This window comes from Homo sapiens, chromosome 2 (assembly GCF_000001405.40).
Source record: "Homo sapiens chromosome 2, GRCh38.p14 Primary Assembly".
Classification (NCBI taxonomy): domain Eukaryota; kingdom Metazoa; phylum Chordata; class Mammalia; order Primates; family Hominidae; genus Homo; species Homo sapiens.
Genome location: NC_000002.12, coordinates 72,763,273 through 72,787,390, shown reverse-complemented (window position 1 = coordinate 72,787,390; position 24,118 = coordinate 72,763,273). Strand labels below are relative to the sequence as shown.

At 38.6% G+C, this 24,118-nt stretch overlaps 1 protein-coding gene across 11 annotated transcripts in view, besides 2 other annotated features; it reads left to right on the top strand.

The window, feature by feature from the left end:
• The window catches only part of EXOC6B (exocyst complex component 6B), a 650,050-nt gene that overhangs the window by 38,643 nt on the left and 587,289 nt on the right, over positions 1-24,118 (top strand). The gene's annotated exons all lie outside the window — the stretch shown is intronic.
• Positions 14,506-15,005: an enhancer, noted in NCBI's record as "H3K4me1 hESC enhancer chr2:72999515-73000014 (GRCh37/hg19 assembly coordinates)". NCBI's record gives its function as "activates a minimal SCP1, AML or CMV promoter by ChIP-STARR-seq in primed H9 embryonic stem cells {active_cell/tissue: H9 hESC(primed)}" and the evidence as "EXISTENCE:reporter gene assay evidence [ECO:0000049][PMID:30033119]".
• Positions 15,006-15,507: an enhancer, noted in NCBI's record as "H3K4me1 hESC enhancer chr2:72999013-72999514 (GRCh37/hg19 assembly coordinates)". NCBI's record gives its function as "activates a minimal SCP1, AML or CMV promoter by ChIP-STARR-seq in primed H9 embryonic stem cells {active_cell/tissue: H9 hESC(primed)}" and the evidence as "EXISTENCE:reporter gene assay evidence [ECO:0000049][PMID:30033119]".

Genomic DNA, 24,118 nt, shown 5'->3' with positions numbered 1-24,118 from the left:
CTGTCTCTACTAAAAAAATACAAAAGTGGCACATGCTTATAATCTCAGCTACTTGGGAAGCTGAGGTGAAGGAACTGCTTGAACCCAGGAGGCGGAGGTTGCAGTGAGCCGAGATTGCGCCACCACACTCCAGCCTGGGCGACAGAGTGAGACTCTGTCTCGAAAAAAAATAAAAAATAAAAATAAAAAAATAAATAAAATAAAACCCTGGGGATTGAGATGACTTTTTAAAGGTTTTCTGAGATGAATTCATACTTGGTACCAGTTGATGGAATCACTTTCCAACAATATATAATATATTTAAGGTTGTTAGGTAGTTGTTTTGGCTTATAGTTCATTGTGAGATTTCTTTGTGATCAGATTGCTTCTGTTGTATCTGTATTTGTTTTTTCTTAGTTCCTATAGTTCATAAGCCATACAATTTGGCATTTAAATTAAGGCAACTCAGTGTTGATGTAATCAACAATTCCCCATTGTGATTGCCCTAATTAAGCCCTCACTGTTTTTCACTTGGACAACACCCTCCTTACTAGCGTCTCTGTTTCATTTTTTATAATTTTTTCAACAAAAGCATACTTAAGATGGTCTACTATGTGTGAAATGCTGTGCTTAGCACTGAGTGTATCAGTAAATAAGACAGACATGGTGATTGCCCTAGTGGAGTATATAGACTACTGGTCAGCGAATTTTCCATACTATTGCCATAAACTTACAAAAAAATCCAGATCAGATCTTTGCTGGTTCTTTTTTGCCTACCATATAGGCTCTTTATAGTCAGGTTTTAGCATACCCTAACAGTTCAAATAACTTCTTCAATGAAGGCAGTTTTGGTATTTCTCTAGAAGCAGAAACAATTATTTTCTTGATCCTAGTTCTCATAGCATTTTATAAAAATCATCAACATAGTACAAGTGACATTGCATTATAGTTGTTTACATTAGTCACCTCTGATAGTTTTTGAGGTTTTTGAAAGGAGGGATAGTATTTTGCTCATTATTGTTTTATCCTCAGTGTGAAATACAGTATCTGGAATGTAAGTGCTCAATAAGTGTTTGAATTATGGTATAGTTTTTGTACTTGCTATCATTTCATGTGTGCATGTCTTGTTTCTCCAACTTCTAGGTCACAGACTGTCATATAATTTCTTTGTATTTCTTCTGGCATCTATGTTGGTATAGAGGACATAATCTAACCCTAAATAAATATTTATTCATTGTTACGATTCTTTCAATATTTTCTGTATATTAACTTTCATTGTTTAGAAAAGCATTTCTTGCTTCCTTGTTTTGTAGAATGTCTTACTTAAATTTTTTATTTTATTTTATTTTTAGTGAAGACAAGGTCTTGCTGTCTTGCCCAGGCTGATCTCAAACTCCTGGGCTTAAGCCATTCTCCTGTCTTGGCTCCCCAAAGAGCTGGGATTACAGGTGTGAGCCACCACACCCAGCCTGGCATTCAACTTTATAAGTGAAGCAGAGCATAAAAGTTTGGAAAATTTGCAGCCTGACTATGTGATAGAAAAGAAAAACCCGTTTTCTGGGGAGCAATTTAAGCCAGCTGCAGAAATTTGGATAAGTATCAAGGAGCCTAATGTTAATCCCCTAGACTATGGGGAAAATGTCTCCAGGCAGCCCCTCCCATCACAGGCCCATAGGCCCAGGAGGAAAAAGTGGTTTTGTGGGCCAAGCCCAGGGTCCCTGCTGTGTGCAGCCTAGGGATTTGGTGCTCTGGTTCCCAGCTGCTCCAGTTGTGGTTGAAAGGGGCCAATGTATAGCTTGGGCTATGGCTTCAGAGGGTGCAAGCCCCAAGCCTTGGCAGCTTCCATGTGGTGTTGAGCATGTGGGTTCACAGATGTCAAGAATTGAGGTTTAGGAACCTCTGCCTAGATTTCAGAAGATGTGTGGAAACGCCTGGATGCCCAGGCAAAAGTTTGCTGCAGGGGCAGGTCCCTCATCAAGAAACTCTGCTAGGGCAGTGCAGAAGGGAAATATGGGGTTGGAGCCCCCCACACAGAGTCCCTACTGGGGCACTGCCTAGTGGAGCTGCGAGAAGAAAGCCACTGTCCTCCAGACCCCAGAATGATAGATCCACTGACAGCTTGCACTGTGTGCCTGGAAAAGCTGCAGACAAGCTGCAGACACTCAATGCTAGCCCATGAAAGCAGCTGAGAGGGAGGCTGTACCCTGCAAAGCCACAGGGGCAGAGCTGTCCAAGACTGTGGGAACCTACCTTTCACATCAGTGTGACTTGGATGTGAGACCTGGAGTCAAAGGAGATAATTTTGGAGCTTTAAAATTTGACTGCCCCCTGGATTTTGGACTTGCATGGACCCTGTAACCCCTTTGTTTTGGCCAATTTCTCCCATTTGGAATGGCTGCATTTACCCAATACCTGTATCCCCATTGTATCTAGGAAGTAACTAACTTGCTTTTGATTTTACAGGCTCATAGGTGGGAGGGTGTTGCCTTGTCTCAGATGAGACTTTGGACTGTGGACTTTTGGGTTAATGCTGAAATGAGTAGAGACTTTGGGGGACTGTTGGGAAGGAATAATTGGTTTTGAAATATGAGGACATGAGATTTAGAGGGGCCAGGGGTGGAATGATATGGTTTGGCTGTGTCCCCACCCAAATCTCAACTTCAGTTGTATCTCCCAGAATTCCCACGTGTTGTGGGAGGAACCCAGGAGGAGGTAATTGAATCATGGTGTATGGTCTTTCCTGTGCTATTCTCATGATAGTGAATAAGTCTCACGAGATGTGATGGGTTTATCAGGGGTTTCCGCTTTTGCTTCTTCCTCATTTTCTCTTGCCGCCACCATATAAGAAGTGCCCTTCACCTCCCACCTTGATTTTGAGGCCTCCCCAGCCATGTGGAACTGTAAGTCCAATTAAACCTCTTTTCCTTCCAAGTCTTGGGTATGTCATTATCAGCTGTGTAAAAATGGACTAATACACTACCCAAAACAATCTACAGATTCAATGCAATCCTTATCAAAGTATCAATGTCATTTTTCATATAAATAGAAAAAACAATTCTGAAATTCATGTGGAACCAAAAAAGAACCTGAATAGTCAAATTGATTCTGAACAAAAAGAACAAAGCAAGAGGCATCACACAGCCTGATTTTAAAATATATTACTAGGCAATAGTAACCAGAACAGCATGGTATTGGTATAAAAATAGACACATAGACCAATGGAGAAGAATTCAGAACCAGAAATAAATCCACCTACTTACAGCTAACTGATTTTTGACAAAGGCACCCAAAGCATACATTGGGGAAAGGATATCCTCTTTAATCAATAGTGCTGGGAACACTGGATATCCATGTGCAGAAGAATGAAACTGGACCCCCTCACCGTTTACAAAAATGAACTCAAGAAGGATTTAACATAAACATTAAACATAAGACCTGAAACTATAAAGCAACTGGAAGAAAACATAGAGGAAACACTCCAGAACATTGGTCTAAGCAAAGATTTTATGGCTAAGATCTCAAAGCACAGGTAACAAAACAAAAAATAGACAAATGGGAATATACTAAACTAAGAAGCTTCTGCACAGCAAAGGAAATGGTCAGCAGTGAAGAGACAGCCTGTTGAGTGGGAGAAAATATTTGCAACTCTTCATCCAATAAGGGATAATATCCAGACTATACGAAGAATCCAAACAACAGGAAAAAAATCTCCACATTTATTCTCATTAAAAAGTGGGCAAAGGACATGGATAGACATTTCTCAAAAGGAGACATAGAAATGACCAACAGGGGCTGGGTGTGGTGGCTCACTCCTGTAATCTCAGCACTTTGGGAGGCTGAGGTGGGCAGATCACGAGGTCAGGAGTTTGAGACCAGCCTGACCAACATGGTGAAACCCCATCTCTACTAAAAATACAAAAATTAGCTGGGCATGGTGGCCCAGCCTGTAATCCCAGCTACTCAGGAGGCTGAGGCAGGAGGATCACTTGAACTCGGGAGGCGGAGGTTGCAGTGAGTTGAGATTGCGCCACTGCACTCCAGCCTGGGCGACAGAGCGAGACTCCATCTCAAAAAAAAAAAAAAAAAAAAAAAAGAAAAGAAAAAGAAGTGACCAACAGGTATATTAAAAATGCTCAACACCACTAATCAGAGAAATGCAATCAAAACCATGGATATATTTTACCCTAGTTAGAATGGCTATTATTAAAAAGACAAAAAAAAAAAACCCCAACAAACAGATATTGGAAAGGGTATGGAGTAAAGGGAGCTTTTATACACTTTCTTGGGAATGTAAGTTAGTACAGTCACTATGGAAAACAGTATGGAGGTTTCTCAAAAATAGAACTATCATGTGATCCAGCAGTCTCACTACAGTGTATTTATTGGAAGGAAAAGAAGCCAGTATATCAGAGGGATAACTGCACTTCCATGCTGTTTTGCAGGGCAAAAAACATAGCAAAGCTACAGAATCAACCTAAGTGCATATCAATGGATGAATGGATAAAGAAAACGAGGTATACACAATGGAATACTGTTCGGCTGCAGAAGAGAATGAAATCATGTCATTTGCAGCAAGGTGGATGGAACTGGATGTCATTTTGTTGAGTGAATTAAGCCCAGGCCCAGAAAGAAAAATACCACATGTTGTCACTCATATGTGGGAACTGAGAACATTAATCTGGAGGTAGAGAATAGAATGATAGATACCAGAGGAGTGGGAGGGTGGGTGTGTGGGAGGGAATAAAAAGAAGCTGGTTAATGGGTACCGATACACAGTTAGAAGGAATAAGTTTTAATGTTCTATAGCAGAGTAGGGTGATTATAGTTAACAATTGTGTTTTGTCTGTTTCAAAATAGCTAGAACAGAGGACTTGAAATTTTCCCAACATATGGGAATGATTAATGCTTGAGGTGATGGACACCTTAAGTATCCTGACTTAATCATTACACAGTCTATACGTGTAACAAAATATCACACATTTTCCCACAAAGATGCATAAATTTTGTATCAATAAAATAATTTTAAAAAATAAAAAAGAAAAGGTAAATCTAAGCCAAAAAGAAATTATGAGATGCAGAATCCTTGGAGATGGTGATATTTGAACTGAGTTTTGAGGAATGGCTAGGATTTGGATTTGTAGATAAAGGAGATTTAGGCATTCTATAATAGTAGGGAAGAAACAAGAAACGGTCAAGAAAATATACTTTGTGATGTTGTTAGGATGATATACTCAATATTTCTTTTCTTTTCTTTTCTTTTTTTTTTTTTTTTGAGAGTGAGTCTCGCTCTGTTGCCCAGGCTGGAGTGCAGTGGTTTGATCTCAGCTCAGTGCAACCTCTGTTTCCCGGGTTCAAGTGATTCTCCTACCTCAGCTTCTTGAGTAGCTGGGATTACAGGTGCTCACCACCATGCACAGCTAATTTTTTGTATTTTTAGTAGAGATGGGGTTTCACCATGTTGGCCAGGCTTGTCTCAAACTCCTGACCTCAAATGATCCTCCCACCTCGGCCTCCCAAAGTTCTGGGATTACAAGTGCGAACCACTGCGCCTGGCCTATATACTCAATATTTCTTTTTCCCTTCCAGGTACGTATGATTGCATGTCCTTTCTCCTTGGAAGTTAGTTGTGGCCATGTGATTTGTTTTGACCAATCATATATGAGTTTAAGTCGTATGAGTCACTTCCAAGTAGAAGTTTTAAGAGTCTATTATTTCCTCACTGTGCTTTTCCTCTGTCACAGTGACCTGCAGTGCTCTGGCTAACTGGCATGCAGGCCACATGCGATCTGTTGCCAATTTTTGTCAATGCAATTTTATTGAAACATAGCCATACTCATTTGTTTATTGTCTATGGTGGCTTTTGCACTACAACAGCAAAATTGAATTGTTGTGATAGATGCCATATGTCCCATAAAGCTGAAAATATTTACTTTGTGGCTATTTACAGAAAAAGCTTACTGACTCTAGATAATTGGCTGCTTCTCAGAGTAAGGACATTGTAGAGGAGAGCCTCCTGCTGACCCACAATGGACTCATATCATCAGCCAGAAAGAAATCTTTATTGTTTTAAGCCACTGAAATTTTGAGGTTGGTTGTTATAGTAGCATAATCTAGTCTATCCTGGCAATTAGACTGTTTATAGGATTAAAAAAAATCGGTTTGCTTAGAGAGGAGAAAACCTTGTGTAGAGGAACAGTATGAAGAAAAAATGGATAGAAATGTTAGGGTAAGATTGGGAAAGTACTAGACTGTTGAGCTCAGAAATTTAGATTTTATTTAGAATCTTCAATATGGATTCAGGACTTGGTATCTTTTTCAAGGGACAGAAGAATAGCATGGCCAGAACTTTATGACAGAAAGATTAATCTACCAATGGTTATATTAATAGGAGCATTGGGAGTAGTAATTTAGTTAGGAATTTGATCACTTGTAAGCACAAAATAAAAATAAAAACCCCTGAAAACCCAATTTAAAAGTTTTTTTTTCCTTAGTGTAACAATTACAAAAACAACCTAACAAGGACTTTCTTATCCTTTTTAATGCTTAATAGCAACCTCAGATTTTCTGTAATTTGAGCCATTACACGGGGAGGAAATACCATTGTAAAGGGAATTGGTATAGCTGCTGTTGAATTCTTTATTTACTCTGACTTCCTCTTTTTTAGATAAAGCAAGCATATCATATACTGTCATCTACTCAATGAAATTTGGTGTCAGATAGCCTAAGGTAGTATTTTAAAATGAAAAACAGTCACTTTAGAATTAGGTTCTACTCCATGTCCTGTTGCCTAATCTGCCGTGTGTAGTGTGAATTGAAGGAAACCTTTGACAGCTTGCCAAGTTACATGAATGCAGCTAAGAGTACATAGCAACTCTTCAAGATTTAGATAAAATATTTTAGGGCACAGAATACTTCAGGTTTTTCAATGCAGTTTTGTTCTACCTATACTGTTCTGAAGATAAATAGAAGGAAAAAATAGAACAATAACAACAAAAAATGCTGAAAAAATCTTTGTATAATCAGGTTATTTTATAAAGTGTTAGAGCTTGTTCTTTTAGTCCTGTTTTGCTCTGCTGAGAGGAATGATTTCTTGTTTTGATTTTATTGTCATAAGGGCATTTGGAAATTTAGAAAATTCATTGTATTGTAGGTATGTTTTTATTGTTTAGTAAGCTATATTTCTTTTCTTTTGGAGTTTATATGTTAATAATACAAAATGTTATGCAGATCATTTTTAAAAAGATATAAGCAGCATAGAATTGTTTCTTTGCCTTTTTTTCCAGATTATGAAAATAATACATGTAATGGTTGGGACTCTTTGGTTGCAAGTGACAGAAACTCAGTGTGAATTAACTTAAACAAAAAAGTTTAAGTTATACCAAGCATCTGAAAACATAGGGTGAAGTTGGTATTAGGTCAGACTGTAAGAAAGGACTTTTGTATTGACCAGAAGGTCTCTTCTCTTTTTCAGACTTGCCTCTTTCCTCCCACCTCTGTGTCTTCTCTCCCTCCGTTGTCTTCATCTTGTACTAAAATGGACTTTTCCCATGAAGCAACGGGCATACACCAGCAACTTTAGGCATCTATTGTATCTCTGAGACCAAAGAGGAAAAGGACTTTCTTTTTTTTGTCAGCTTCAGTTATTATAATCTTAGGAAAATGATCTGATTCCCCACCCCTTAGACAATAGTCTAATTCTTATGTGTTCTGGGACCTGGGATGTTATGCTTGGCCCAAACTTAGTCCCATGTTTAATTTTATGGCTGTGGGGTGTGGAGTGTGTGGTCTTTTGCCAGAGAGCATTGGCATGGGGCTTGGGGTCTGACCAAAATAGTTGCCACTATAATGCTTATTGATGTAAATATGGCAATAGTTAGAAAAACTTAAAGCGGAGCAAAACTATTCATAAACTTATTATTTTAGCATATTTGCTTGATAATTTTTTTTACATTTTGAACATGTTTTCTATGTTGTTGAAACACACATGCACACGTGTATATATATAAAATTTGTGTATGTATAACAAATGTATTTATGATGTTACATAATGTTATATATATTTTGTATGGGGACAGCAAGTTATAATATGTACATTTATATAATATAATATATATATGCTTATAATACAGTGGCAGATAGAGAAATGGATGAGTGTGGGATTCTGAGTTTTTATACTTTCACTGTAATCATGGCTCTACTCACTAGCTTTGTAACTTGGGCAAACAATTTATCTTGCCTGTGATTCAGTTTCTTTATACAATGAAGGTAATACTGTCACCCTGTATCATGGGTGTAGTTTTGGGGTTTAGCAAGATGATAAGTGAAAAATGTTTAGAACAGTCCTTTATAAGAAGTAAACATGGAAGAAACATGAGCTATTGTTTTTATAAATACTGTAATATTTATGTTATACTATACATACTATATATGGACATATTCACTGTATATGTTAATATTGTATTAACATACAGACAGGTACATGCATGTGTTATGTTGTATCCTGCTTTTTTAAAAAAACTAATATATTTGTTTGCTCTATTATATTTTTAGAAAATTAATAACCCTGAAGAAAACGAATTTTGGAACTCGGTGATCTTAACTTTCCTCTGAAACATGACATTTTGGGAAAAACTTTACTTGTGTATGATAGTCTTTACCCCAAAGGAGTGAAGTCTTTAGAAAGAATGGGAGATGACTAATAGCAAATCTTAGTCATGATTTGTAGTCCTTCGCTTGAATGTGTTTGTCAGATTAGTACATCCCTTTCCTGAACTGAAAGGATAACTGTTTGGCACAAATAGGCTAAACATTAACCAGGGCCTCCTCACCAGTGTATGAAATGGTACTTTTTTGGTAACTAGTATACAGCACATTTGTTCCTACCTATGCAGGCACCAAAGAGTTAATTCTGTTTCTATTGTAAACAGTACATTATTCTAGAAGGAGCAGTATGCAGAATAGAGTTTGAGTACTAGTTTTCTGAACCTCTAAAATAGAAATAATAATGTCCCTTTTTTCTTGCAGCTATTTTTGTCTTGAAGCTTGTTTTGTTTAGTTTTAGCTCTCCTTTGGTTTGTTCAGTTAATCTTTTGGTTATTGTTTGCTTAGAATATCTTTTTCCATCCTTTCACTTCCAACCTATTTCTATCTTGGGATCTAAAGTGAGTGTTTTATACATGGCTTACAGTTGGATCATGTTGTTACTATTTTTAAAAAGTCCATCATGTCAAAGAAAACAAACAAATGACAGCAAAACAGCTTATCATGTCAATCTCTGCCTTTTAATTGGAGAGTTTAGTCCATTTTCATTCATTGTAATTACTGATAAGGAATGACTTACTTTTGCCATTTTGCTATTTATTTTGTGTGTCTTCTGTATTTTTTGTTCCTTGGTTTCTCCATTGCTGCCTTATTTTGTGTTAGATAGGTATTTTCTAGTGTACCAATTTGATTCATTCATTTATAAACTATAAATTTTAACTTATTTTCTTTGTGATTTTTCTGGGGGTTACAATTAACATCTTAATTTATGAATATCTGGTTTGATACCAATTTAGTTTCAATAGTATACAAAATCTTTGTTACTATATAGCTCCATTTGTCCTTTTTGTTGTCATTATAAATTACATCTTTATACAATGTATGCTCATCAACAGAGATATGTATTGTTTTTTGCAGTCTTTTAAATCATATAGGAAAAAGGAGGAGGTACGAATGAAAAATTCAATAATACTGACTTTTGTATTTACCTATGCAGTTATCCTTTAACAGTTTTCTTTATTTCTTTGTATAGATTTGAGTTACCATTTAGTGTTTTTTCTTTCCAGCCTGAGGGACTTGCTTTAGTGCTTCCTAAAGGTCAGGTTTACTAGTGACAGAGTCTCTCAGTTTTTGTTTATCTGGGGATATCTTAATTTCTTTTTCATTTCAGAGGATAGTTTTGCCAGGTAATGAATTTTTGCTCAATGTTTTTTTCCTTTCAACATTTAAAAAATTTAAATAAAAAATATTTAAAATAACATTTTAAATATGTTATCTCACTGTCTTCTAGCCTCCATGGTTTCTGATGAGAAATTTGCTGTTCATCTTATTGAGGATCCTTAATACACAATGAGTTGCTTCTCTCTTGTTGCTTTCAAGAATCTCAAGAGTCTGTTTTTCTTTTTTTGAGACAGAGTCTCGCTCTGTTGCCCAGGCTGGAGTGCAGTGGCATGAGGATCTTGGCTCACTGCAACCTCTGCCTCCCAGGTTCAAGCGATTCTCCTGCCTTAGCCTCCCAAGTAGCTGGGATTACAGGCATGTGCCACCACGCCTGGCTGATTTTTGTATTTTTATTAGAGATGGGGTTTCAACATGTTGCCCAGGCTGGTCTTGAACTCCTGACCTCAGGTGGTCCTACCACCTCAGCCTCCCAAAGTGCTAGCATTACAGACAGGATCCACTGCTCCCGGCCTGTCTTGTATTTTGACAGTTTGATTATAATGTGCCTTGGTGTGGATGTTTGTGAGTTTATTCTACTTGGAGTTTGTTGAACTTCCTGGAAGTATATATTCATATTCTTCATCAGATTTAGGAAATTTTTGGTCATTATGTCTTCAAATATTCTTCCAACTTCTTTCTCTTTCTCTCCTTTCCTTTTGGAACTACTGTTATATATTGTATGTTATATATGTATTATGTCCCAGATATTCATCTTGTATTAACTTTTATAAATACATCTCCCCATTTTGTTGTCTATTTTTTCACCTAATTCATATTGCAAATTCTTATACAGAAACTTAACTTTTTTTTTTTTGAGACCTGGCTGTCTCACCCAGGCTGGAGTGCAGTGGCATGGCACGATCTCAGCTCACTGCAACCTCCACCTCTGGGGCTCAAGTGATCCTCCCATCTCAGCCTCATGAGTAGCTGGGACTACAGGTGTGTGCCCCCATGCCTGGCTAATTTTTGTATTGTTTGTAGAGATGAGGTTTCTCCATGTTGCCCAGGCTAGTCTCGAATTCCTGAGCTAAAACAGTATGCCCGTCTTGGCCTCCCAAAGTGCTGGGATTATAGGCGTGAGCCACCTCTCCTGGCCAGAAGGTTAACATTTTATTTAGTAAAATCGACCAGTCTTTTTCTTTGTGGCTTCTGAATTTGATATCTTGCTTAGAAGGGCCTTCATTACCTTAAAAGTATAAAAATATTATTCTGAATTCCTTTTAGATATGTAGTATTGGTTTCTTAATTGAAATTTTTGTTGAGATAATTGCAGTTTCACATACAGTTATAAGAAATTACATATGTAAGGGTATATGTATATATGTGTGTGTGTATGTGTATTTATCTCTATATGTTTTTATTGCCTGCTCTATAGTGATGCAATTTATAAGAAATTAGAGAGAGACTCCATGTACCCTTTACTTAATTCCCCTCAGTAACATCTTGCAAAACAATGCTATAATATCAAACCAGGATATTGACATTGATATAATTCACCTACATTATTCAGTTTTCTATGGTTTTACTATAGGCATTTGTGTGTATATATTTAGTCCTGTACAATTTTATCTCATGTAGGTATGTGTATTCACCACCACAGTCAATATATCGAATTGTTTCATCACTGTAATGATTGCTATGGTACCTTTTTATAATCATATCCACTTCCCTGTTTCCCCATCACTAATTCTGCCAACCACTGTCTCCATTGTTAAAGTTCCGTCATTACAAAATTGCTGTATAAATGAGGTCATATGTTACAACCTTTTGGTATTTTTTTTTCTTTTTCTCAGCATCTCAGCATAATTCTCTGGGGATTCATTTGTTGTTGTGAGCATAAATTGTTTATTCCTTTTTTTGCTGAATAGTACTCCATGATATTGTTATACCACATTTACCTGTTGAACACCTGGGCTGTTTCTTGTTTTGGACTGTGGCATAATAATAAATTGCATTTGGTCTTTGACCCTGACTTCTGGCACAGAATTCCTAAACTGCATGGAATTTCTCAAGTGAGAAGGCCATAGGTTTATGTTTTGTTATTCATAAGAAGCTCCTTTCAACCATACCTGAGTTTATGCTAATGAGATAATTCTTGATGAGGCCCTAGATAGCTTTAGGAGAGGGAGGGGCTAGTTGCCAGAAAGACCAAGCCTTGATTAGAGGGTTGGAATACTCAACTTCTTCCCCCAACCTCCAGGGAGGGGAGAGAGCCCCAATCACCAATGGCCAGTGATTTGATCAATCATACCCATGTAATTAAACCTTCTTAACAACTCCTAAACAATAAGGAGTTTCAGAGAGCTTCCAGGTTGGTGAACACATTGAGTTGCTGGGAAGGTGGCATGTCTGAAGGGGACATGGAAGCTCCTTGCATCCCCCTCTTTCTCATAACTCTCCCTATGCACCTCTTCCATTTGGATTCTCCTGAGTTATACCTTCAATAGTAAATCAGTAAGAGTAAGTAAGCAAAGTGCTTAACTGAGTTCTATATTATTCTAGTAAATTATTGAACCTGGTAGGGAGGGGAGGCATCATGGCAACACTTGAATTTGTAGTTGGCTGGGCAAAAATCTGGGACATCTGGGCACTTAGTTTGTGACTGATGCATGATGTTTGTCAGTTTTATGGGACTGAGCCCTTAACCTGTGGAGTCTGATGCTAACTCCAGCAGATAGTGTGAGAATTAATTAGAATTGTGAGACATCAGTAGTGTCAGAGAATTGGTGTTGAAAAAGATACTACATATTTTTTGTCAGGAGGAGAAAGAACCATTCATTGGCTATTATGAATAAAACTCCTGTGAACATTCCTGTACTGATTTATATGTATATATATTTCAACATAAGTTAACATTTCTCTAGGGTAAATGCTCAGGAGTGCAGTTGGCTGGACTGTATGGTAAGTGTATATTTAGTTTTTTTAGTAACTTCAAAAATATTTTTGCAACTGGCTGTACTGTTTTATATTTCCATCAGTAAAGTATTAGTGATGTAGTTTCTCTTCATTCTCACCAGTATTTGATGTTGTCACTATTTTTTATTTCACCCATTCTGATGGATAGTGATAATGTAGTATTATTTATTATGATTAGATTTTCAGCTCATCTTTATTATTGTGTTCTACAGAATCACCAGCTTATTATTTGGACTACATATGCAGAATTTTCTGTTGCTACCAGTTCATATTTTCACTGAGGTAGCCTGTTGCCCTTCCAAAGATTGCCAGTATTTACAAACATTTCTTGTAAGACTGGGTGATAATATTAATGAATGTGTTTTTTGATACTATGTAATGAAATATATCAATATTTGGAAAACCTATACAACCCAGTGAATCAGTATTTTTTAAATGACCAGTGCCTGATGTTACAAAATCACGTGAAATATTCATTTGAAGTATAACATAGACTAATGGGTTTTAATGTAACAAGGTACAAAAAATTTACTGATGTGGTTTCAGATTTCACATTGTAACTTTAAGAAAGTATCATTTGTCACATTCTAAAATTATACCAAAGAATATTTATATAAAATTATCTGAAAAGTCTTTGAAAATACTTTTTAGTTTTCCAGTTACATGTATTGTGAGGCTGAGTTTTCTTCATATACTTTAACCAAAACTGCGCATTGCCATAGGTTGAATGCAGAGGCTACAGAATCCAGATGTCTTCTGTTAAGACGACATTAAAGAGACTTTCACAAATGTAAAACAAACTATTTTAACTATTTGTTTTTTATTTGTATAAAATATACTGTTTAACTTGTAGTGGGTTCATTGTTAATTTTAAATGAATTAATTATTTTCAAGGTTCTCAGTTTTAGTTTTTTTTTCCGACTTTCTTGAGGTATAATTTTAAAAAGTATATACCTAAGGTATAGAATGAGATGTTTTGATATATATACACATTGTGAAATGATTATTAAAATTGTGCTAATTAACATATTCATCAACTCACATAGTTGCCTTTTTTTTTTTTTTTGGTGAGAAAACTTAAGATCTACCCGGTATGGTGGCTCATACCTGTAATCCCAACACCTTGGGAGGCTGAGGCAGGTGGATTGCTTGAGCCCAGGAGTTCCTGACCAACCTGAGCAACATGGTGAAATCCCATCTTTACAACAAATGTGAAAAAAATTAGCTGGGCATGGTGGCTTATGCTTGTGGTCCCAGCTACTTGAGAGGCTGACATGGGAGGATCACCTGAGCCTGGGAGGTTGAGGCTGCAGTGAGTCATGATTGCACCACTGCACTCCAGCCTGGGCAACAGAGTGAGACCCTGTCTCACAAAAAAAAAAAAAAAAAAAAAAGAAAATCTAAGGTCTACTGTCTTAGCAAATTTAAATTATACAATATAATAATGTTATTAACTATAGTTACCATGTTGTACATGTTCTTTTATAGTTCTCTGTGGTTCTTTTGTAGCTCTCTACATTTCTTTTGGATGATTATTTTGAAATCTTTTTCAGACAGTTCGTAGATCTTCATTTCTTTAGGGCTGGCTACTGGAGCTTTATTTTGTTCCTTGGGTGGGGGGATTATGGTTTTCCTGTTTATTTGTGATCCTTCTGGCTTTGGTTTGGTAGTTGTGCATTTGAAGATGTAGGTACCTCTTCCAGTCTTTACAGGCTGGCTTTGGCAGGGAAAGCCCATCACCCAGTCAGCCTACTCAGAATCTCTGAACAGGCTGATTGGTCGAGTGCATAGGTTGGCTTTCTTCTGAAGTCCTTGGGTAGGCTGGCCTGGTCCCTGGGTCAGCAGGTAGGCATTCCTAGCACCTGGGTTTATAGGATCAGTCCTGTTGCCTGGGTGTGTGGGCCTGGATTCTGGGGTCATGGGGATCAGCCTGGTAAAAGGATCTACTGGGTTGGGCTGGCAATGGGGTCTGCAGGAGCAGGCCTGAAGCTTGGATCCACAATGACTAACTGGCAATGGGGCAGTCTTGGCGTCTCTTTCCATGGAGGTGAGCCTGGTGCCTGGTACCATGTGGCTGGGCCTAGAACCTGTTTCTGTGGGGACTTGCCTGGCACCAGGTTCTATTGGGCAGGCCTGAAGCCTGGGGCTTTGGGGGCCATCCTGGCACTGGAGCTTGCCTTAAGCCTGGTCCTGCAGGGGCAGGCCTGGAGCCTTAGGTCACTGGCTGTCCTTGTGTTGGATTTGGCCTGGAGCTTAGGTACATGGCGGCTGGCCTGGCACCAAAATTCACTGGGGAGGCCTGGGGCTGGGGTCCCCAGTGAAGTAGGGTGCTCATATCATTCTCGTTTTCCTCCAGCGAGGGTCTCTCTTGTGAGCTTGGGGGAAGGGAATCATGGATAATGTGAAGCCGTCTTTCATACCCCCTTTAATGTATATTTTCTTATTTCTGCATTCTACCTAGGTGCTGTGATCTCTTACCTGGATTCCTTAGTTCTTTTGAATATATTTTTGTACTTGGATGTTTGTTCAAACTGATGTTTCTGTGAAGGGATGTGTGTTGGAAACTCCTATTCTGCCATCTTGCTGACATCGCTCCTCAGTTTTAATATCTAAAATAGCACATACTAATATATATATAATTCATATAAGCAAAAGCTCTTTAGGGTACTCAGTAATTTTTATTTTTCCTCTTTTCTTTCTTTTTTAGAGATATGGTCTCACCATGTTGCCCAGGCTGGGCTTGAATTCCTGGCCTGAAGCGATCCTTCCACCTTGGCCTCACAAAATGTTGAGATTACAGATGTGAGCTACCACATCCAGGCTCTCAGTAATTTTTAATAATGTAAAGTAGTCTTTTGTCCATAAATTTGGCTGCTTGTTTAGATAAAAAGAAACTGAAGAGACATGACCACAAAATGTAATTCATGATCTTAGACTGGATACTTTCCAGTAGGAAATGAAAATGCTCTAAAGAGCATTATTGGGATAATCTTCAAAATTGGAATTTGGACTGTGGGTTAGATATAATTGTATCAATGTAAATTTCTTGAATTTCATAATGGTACTATCATTATGTAAGAGAGAGGAGGTACAGACTATAGTTTTACAGGCATGATATATGAAGCCTACTTACAAATGGTTTAGAAAAATAAGCATGCATATATATGTAGGGAGAGAATGATAAAACAAATATGGCAAAAATTAGTGAACTCTGCATAAAGGCTATACAAGAGTTCTGTGCAATGTGAAATTATTTCAAAATAAAAATTACAACAATTATAAAGAATATAATGAATATCTTAGAAGCAATTTTTACAAATTAATTGGCGAGTGTTTTATTGTGCTTGTGATGAGTATGAAATGTTTTCAGCAGTTGAAGACACTTCTGGTTATGTAATAACTTTGTAGTTGTCACCACTTTTCAGAGGATACTCTTTATGCTCTGCTGCCCCCTAGTGACTTTATGCTCATCAGCAATTGTTTCTTCCAAGTGTAGTAAGTTGGAAATGAAGAGCACTATAATCATTATTTAAAAACAACTTAGTGTCAAGTCAAATAATTTTTCTGGGGGCGAGGGGGAAGACACTACCATGAAGCCATATCTAATGGCTTCCTTTTTTTCTTTGAATTTTTAAAAAATTGTATTTTTGTTCTTGTGGTTCCTTTGTATTGCATCCTCAGTTCTCTCTGTCTCTCTCTGAAGGTAATATTTACTGATTTCTCACCCAAGGGCAACAATGAAACTTAACTTGTGTACTCTTCTGTTATTCTTTCCTCTTAGCATTAAATATCAGGGAATAGTATTATCTTAGTGCTTTACTTTGTAGTCAAGCATACTTGATTTGGCCCATAATCTCTCATTTGTAATCCCCAAATCCTAAAGGCTCTAAAAACTATTTGTTGTCAAAATCTGCCTTAATTCATTTGGCAAGAAAACCTGATGTGAATTGACTTAATATATTAATAATCTTTATATTTACCACTTTTGTGAATATTCCTATATTTTACTGCTGAAATATGAATGTGTTTGATTATGGAATGCTTAAGATCTTACTGGGATGTTACATAATATGTGACAGATGAGCTGTATTTTTTTTAAATGTACAGAATTTGGTATTATGAAACATTTTGCTACAAGGATTTTCGATTAGGGATTGTAGACCTGTAGTTGATTTGCCTAGCTTTGGCTCACAGTTACTGGTATAAGATAGTTGACTAGTTTATTCTACTTTCTATCTTCTCTCTTTTTTTTCTTAGTTGTATAATTTTTATGTACTATTTTTATGTATCATACTTGATCACTTTTAATCTGACCTTGTTTTTGTCTTAGAGTTGCAGTTAAATATATTCAGTCTTCATTGACATTCTTTTTTATTGAAGTTTTCCCTGTCATCTAGTTGGGTTTGTGTTCCTCCTCTAGTAGTTGCCTTAAGAAGGACTTATGTGAACAACAATTTTTGAGTTATTGTATATTCAAATTTTAGCTCTATAGACTTTATATTTAAAGGCTAGCTTGGTTGAAATTAAAGTTCTTGGCTCATGTTTTGTTTCCTTGAGTATCTTGTCTTCTGGTGTTCAATGTTGCTGTGGAGAAGTCTGATACTTGCTGGTTTTTCTTTTTCCCTAAGTGCTTATTCTTGATTCTTATTATTTTTGGCTGTCTATTGACTCTTCTTCTTTCTATTTTATTTTATTTTATTTTTGAGATGGAGTCTTGCTCTGTCGCCCAGGCTGGAGTGCAGTGGCACGATCTCGGCTCACTGCAACCTCCACCTCCTGAGTTCAAGCAATTCTCCTGTCTCAGCCTCTCGAGTAGCTGGGATTACAGGCACGTGTCACCACACCCGGCTAATTTTTGTATTTTTAGTAGAGACAGAGTTTTGCCATGTTGGCCAGGCTGGTCTCGAATTCCTGACCTCAGGTGATCTGCCCGCCTTGGCCTCCCAAAGTGCTGGGATTACAGGTGTGAGCCACTGGGCCTGGCCCTTCCTTTTTTAGTTATTAGACATTACTCAAAGAATTTCAGCATGTATCCTTGACTCAGAGTATAATATAAATTAATATTTTTATCACTTCCTTGACACTGCTAGGAATATGTAACACTTTTTCATTTATCCTTTCCTACATCTTACACTGTTGTCATGAATTTTAATTTTACATGTAATTTTGTTCCCACACAACATTATCCTTATTATTTCGTAGAGTCACCATTCATGTATGTTTACTCTTTTGTTTGATTCTTCATTTCCTCCTCCATCTCTGTGCTTCATTCTGAGGTCACTTTTCCTTTTGTATGCAGAACTCCCTTTAGCATTTCTTTTAGTGAAGGACTCATTTATTTTGTTTGTATGAATAATGTCTGTATTTCACCTTATTTTAAAATTGCAGTAAAATATACATAACATATACTTTACCATTTTAACCATTTTTAAGTGTACAGTTCAGTGGCATTAAGTATATTCACATTTTTCTGTAGCCAAAACTGCCACCTATCTCCAGAACTTGTCTAATCCCAAGTAGCTGGGACTATAGGCACATGCCACTGTGCCTGGCTAATTTTTTTTTGTAGAGACAGGGTTTAGCTTTGTTGCCCAGGCTGGTCTTGACCTCCTGGCTTCAAGCAATATTCTTGCCTCAGCCTCCTAAGGTGCTGGGATTACAGGTGTGAACTACCACGGCTGGCCAAGTATAGTTTTCTTTACATTCATCATGCTTTGGGTTTATAGGGCTTGAAACTATGGACTGATATCTTTCATAAGTTTTTAGATATACTTGGCTATGATGTCTTTAAGTATTGCTTCTGCACAATTATACAATGATAAAATTTCTTTCAGGAGAGTTACAGATTTAAAAATATTTTCATAATATCAGTTAGATGTTATTTACTTAAAAAAAAAAAAAAAAAGCTTAGGCCGGGCACAGTGTCTCACGCCTCTAATCCCAGCACTTTGGGAGGCCAAGGCGGGGGGATCACCTGAGGTCTGGAGTTTGAGACCAGCCTGACCAACATGGAGAAACAAAATACAAAATTAGCCGGGGAGAAAGAAAATACAAAATTAGCCGGGGGTGGTAGCGCATGCCTGTAATCCCAGCTACTCGGGAGGCTGCGGCAAGAGAATGGCTTGAACCCGGTAGGCGGAGGTTGCAGTGAGCCGAGATCGCACCATTGCACTCCAGCCTGGGCAACAAGAGCCAAACTCTGTCTCGAAAAAAAAAAAAAAAAAAAGCTTGCATTCTCCTAGGGGAATAGAATTGAGTTTCTTAGAGGCTGCATGATGTGAAAATATCATTGTTTCAGTGGTGAATGTTATTTATACTTGTATGTTCTTTTATGTAATTTTTTTCTTCTGTTTCAATTTCTTTCTTTCTTTCTTTCTTTTTTTTTTTTTTTTTAACGGAGTCTCACTCTGGCCCCCAGGCTGGAATCTGGAGTGCAGTGGCATGATCTCAACTCACTGTAACCTCTGCCTCCCGGGTTCATGTGATTCTCCTGCCTCAGCCTTCCGAGTAGCTGGGATTACAGGCCCATGACATTACTCTCCTCTAATTTTTATATTTTTAGTGGAGACGGGGTTTCGCCATTATTGTCCAGGCTGGTCTTGAACTCCTGACCTCAGGCGATCCGCCTGCCTCGGCCTCCCAAAGTTCTGGAATTATAAGCGTGAGCCACCGGACTTGGTCTTTTTTTTTTTTTTTTTTTTTTTTTAACAAGGTCTCTGTGTCTCCCAGGCTGGAGTGCAGTGGTCTAATCTCTGCTCACTGCAACCTCCACCTCCCAGGCTTAGGTGATACTCCCACCTCAGCCTCCTGAGTAGCTGGGACCACAGGTGCATGCCACCATGCCTAGCTAACTTTTTTGGTATTTTTTGTAGAGATGGGGTTTTGCCGTGTTTCCCAGGTTGGTCTCAAACTCCTTAGCCTCAAGCAATCCGCCGGCCTCGCCTCCCAAAGTGTTGGGATTGCAAGCGTGAGCCACTGTGCCTGGCCCAGTTCCAATTGTTAATGTGGCTAATGTCAACAAACATAACACATACACAAAAGTTCTTGGGAAACCCAAGGGAAATATATATTATAATATATATTTGAGACCGAGTTTTGCTCTTTTGCCCAGGTTGGAGTGAAATGGCGCGATCTTGGTTTACTGCAACCTCCGCCTCCCGGTTTCAAGCGATTCTCCTGCCTCAGCCTCTCCAGTTGCTAGGATTACAGGCGCCCGGCACTACACCCTGCTAATTTTTTGTATTTTTAGTAGAGACGGGGTTTCACCATGTTGCCTAGTCTTGTCTCGAACTCCTAACCTCAGGTGATACACCCGCCTCGGCCTTCCAAAGTGCAGGGATTACAGGCGTGAGCCCCCGCACTCGGCCAGGAAACCCAATATTTTTTGAGAGCATAAAAATAGTGCCAGGCAAAAAATTTTGAGAACTGCTGGCTGAGGGCTTTTGATGGTGTCCCATGTTTCATTTTTCTTACATTCTTCTGTATTTTACATCCTGTCCTTTCCTTGTTCTCTTTGGGCTTCAATGTGGATTTTTTTTTTCCTTTTTTTTTTTTTTTTCTTTTGAGACAGGGTCTCACTCTGTCACCCAAGCTGGAGGGCAGTGGTGATCTCGGCTCATTGCAACCTCTGCCTCCCGGTTTCAAGCGATTTTTGTGCCTCAGCCTCCCGAGTAGCTGGGATTACAGACGCGCACCACTACGCCCGGCTGATTTTTCTATTTTTGATAGAGATGGAGTTTCACCATGTTGGCCAGGCTGATCTCCACCTCCTAACCTCAAATGATCCACTTGCCTCATCCTCCCAAAGTGCTGGGATTACAGGTGTGAGCCACTGTGCCCAACCTCAATGTGGATTTTTTCAATTGACTTATTTGCTGGTAAACCATCTATGGAGTTCGGAATTTTAAAAACCCAGTTCTGGGTTTTCTCCAGTTTTATAATAAAAAAACAAATCGTAAGGCTGTAGTGAAATTCTCCATCTTCTCATGTGTTTTGTTCTTTTCCTTTTTTCTTGTGGTATTAATCATAGCCATTTTTAAAGTTCTTATCTGATAAGTTCAATATCTAGATCATCTGTGAATCTTGATTTTTAGTCATGTGATTTTTAGTCATGTGATCTTCTCTTGGCACACTTGGTAATTTTGGACTGAATAGACATTAAAAAAATTGTGGAGGTTTTGGATAGTGTTTTCTTCCTTAAGTGAAGGTCCCTCCCCTCTGCTCCCACTTTTGGTAAGGCAGATGGTATGGCAATATTTAATCCAGTCAACGACTGAGCTGGCTAAATCTAGGGTTCAGCTTTAGTTAGGGTGTGGCTCATTACTGCCTTAATGCTATTGTCCTCCAGACATTCCAAAGAGCCTGGAGTGATGACTAGGAGCCCTTCCCTTGGTAGATCCTTAATTCTTTTCTTTCCTTTATACCTCAATACTACCTAACATTCTGTTGGCTTCTCTGAGTCTTTTTGCTTATCTTAACCTCTCTCTTTGTATAGCTTAAGAATTCAGCAAATGTGTTGAGAAAATAATAACAGTGCTATGTATTCTTCCCATCTTTCCTCTTCAGGATTCTAACCTCTTATGCCTCTAATTTAAGGTACCGGGATTCTCTAAAACTGTCAAAAGCTGATTTTCCTGCCTTTTGGTCTTGACTTTCTGCTTGTTCCCTTTCCCGGGAACTTCAGCCTCTTGAATGGAGATTTGGTACTTACCTTGAGGGGGAAAAAGTGACTGAAGCATATTGGCAGACCCATTCTTACTATTCCCCTCTTCTCCAGTGTTCTGTTCCCTTAGATTCTGGTTGCCGGAGCAGTTCTGTTTTTTGTTTTTGTTTTTGTTTTTTTGAGATGGAGTCTTGCTGTGTCACCCATGCTGGAGTGCAATGGCGCAATCTCGGCTCACAGCAACCTCCACCTCCCGGGTTCAAGTGATTCTCCCGCCTCAGCCTCCCCAGTAGCTGGGATTATAGGCACCAGTCATCATGGCTGGCTAAGTTTTGTAATTTAGTAGAGAGGGGGGTTTCACCATGTTAGCCAGGCTGGTCTTGAACTCCTGACCTCAGCTGATCCACCCACCTCAGCCTCCCAAAGTGCTGGGATTATAGGCCTGAGCCACCACGCCTGACTGCCTGAGCAGTTCTGTTAGTCCCTCAGGAAAGAATATCATAAACAGGTATGCAGAAGACCTGGAGAGGTATTCATTTATTTATTTTTATTTTAAATTTTTTTTTGAGAGAGGGTGTTGCTCTGTTGCCCTGGCTGGAGTGTACTGGAGCTCACTACAGCCTTGAACTCTTGGCCTAAAGCTATCCTCCTGCCTCAGCATTCCAAGTAGCTGGGACTACAGGCATGTGCCACCATGCCCGGCTAATTTTTTAAAAATTTTTCTTCCTAAATGGAAGGGACCTTATCAAGTCCCTTTTTTTTTGTAGTGATGGGGTCTCACCATGTTGCTCAGGCTGGTATTGAACTCTTGGGCTCAAGTAATCCTCCCACCTTGGCTTCCCAAAGAGCTTGGATTATAGGTGTGAGCCACCACACCTGGCTGGGAGTATCAGTTTAGATTGGAGCAGGAGAAAGGAGAATTTCAAGAAAGAGATTTACAGGCAAAGGGATTCCAGCCAGGAAGGAATGGCAATATTAGTATACGATCTGGCTTAAAAGTGAAGAATATTTGTATAGTTAAAATAATGCAAATGTTATTTGTTTGTTTGCAAAGACAAAGTATGGGCCATCTATGAAAAACAATTATGATTATAGAACAAAATATATGTGTTTATCAACTCTATCAGTGTAAAATTCATTTCCACAGTTGGAGAAAGTAAGGAAAAGATATAAAGAGAAAGTAAGGGGGTCAGGCACGGTGGCTCATGCCTGTCATCCCAGCACTTTGGGAGGCTGAGGCAGGATTGGTTGAGCCCAGGAGTTTGAGACCAACCTGCGTAACATAGTGAGACCCCATCTCTACAAAAAATAAAAAAATTAGCTGGATGTGGCACATGCCTCTAGTCTCAGCTACTCTGGAGGCTGAGGTGGGAGGATTGCTTGAGCCTGGGAGGTCAGGGCTACAGTGAGCTGTGATCACACCACTGCACTCCAGCCTGGGCAACAGAGTGAGACTCTGTCTCAAAAAAAAAAAAAAAAAAAAAAAAAGAGAGAAAATAAGGGAGAGGTAATGCTTCATTTTGCATAGTTGGGAATCAAGATAATCTGTTTTTAATAATACAAGAAACAAAAGCATAACTATATTATTTATATTACAAAAGCAATCTTTAGAAAAACTAAAAGGGGTATATAAGTATTGAGAGGAGAGGAAAAGGAATGATATGGTATCATGAGGTAATTTTTGATCAATTATAGTAGGAAATAGACAATATCTAAAATGGATAAAGGGAAAATGGCAATATTATCTTTTTATTTTATATTATTTTAATTTTTTAAGACAAGTGCTCGCTCTGTCGCCCATGCTGGAGTGCAGGGGTACAATCACAGCTCACTGGAGCCTTGACCTCCTGGGCTCAAGTGATCCTCCCACCACAGCCTCCCGAGTACCTGGTACTACAGGCATGCCACCACACCCGGCTAATTTTTGTATTTTTTGTAGAGACAAGGTTTCACCATGTTGCCCAGGTTGGTCTCAAAGCCCTGGGCTCAAGCAATCTGCCTGCCTTGGCCTCTCAAGCTGCTGGGTTTACAGGTATGAGCCACCACACCCATCCAATATTATATTATTTGAAGATATGGGCTTACTTCTCAAAAATTAAAAATAGAAACATTTATAAAAGTTCAAATTGGGCTGGGTGTGATGGCTCATGCCTGCAATCCCAGTGCTTTGGGAGGCTGAGGCAGGGCAGATTGTTTGAGGTAGGAGTTCAAGACCAGCCTGGCCAACATGGTGAAAACCCATCTCTACCAAAAAATACAAAAATTACCCGGGTGTGGTGGCACGCACCTGTAGTCCCAGCTACTTGTGAGGCTGAGATAGGAGGATCACTTGAGTCTGGGAGGTGTGCAGTGAGCCAAGATCGTACCAGTGCACTCCAGCCTGGGTGCCAGAGTAAGACCCTGTCAAAAGAAAAAAAAAAAAAAGAAAAAACACGTTCAAATTGACTTTCTCTGGAAAACAGGAATGGAAATTCAAGAAGCTCAAACAACTCCTTGAGCAGGATAAACATAAACAGCAAAACAACACCAAGGTACTATACAAAGGAATGACAACAATAGCTCTAAATACAGGAAGGGGGA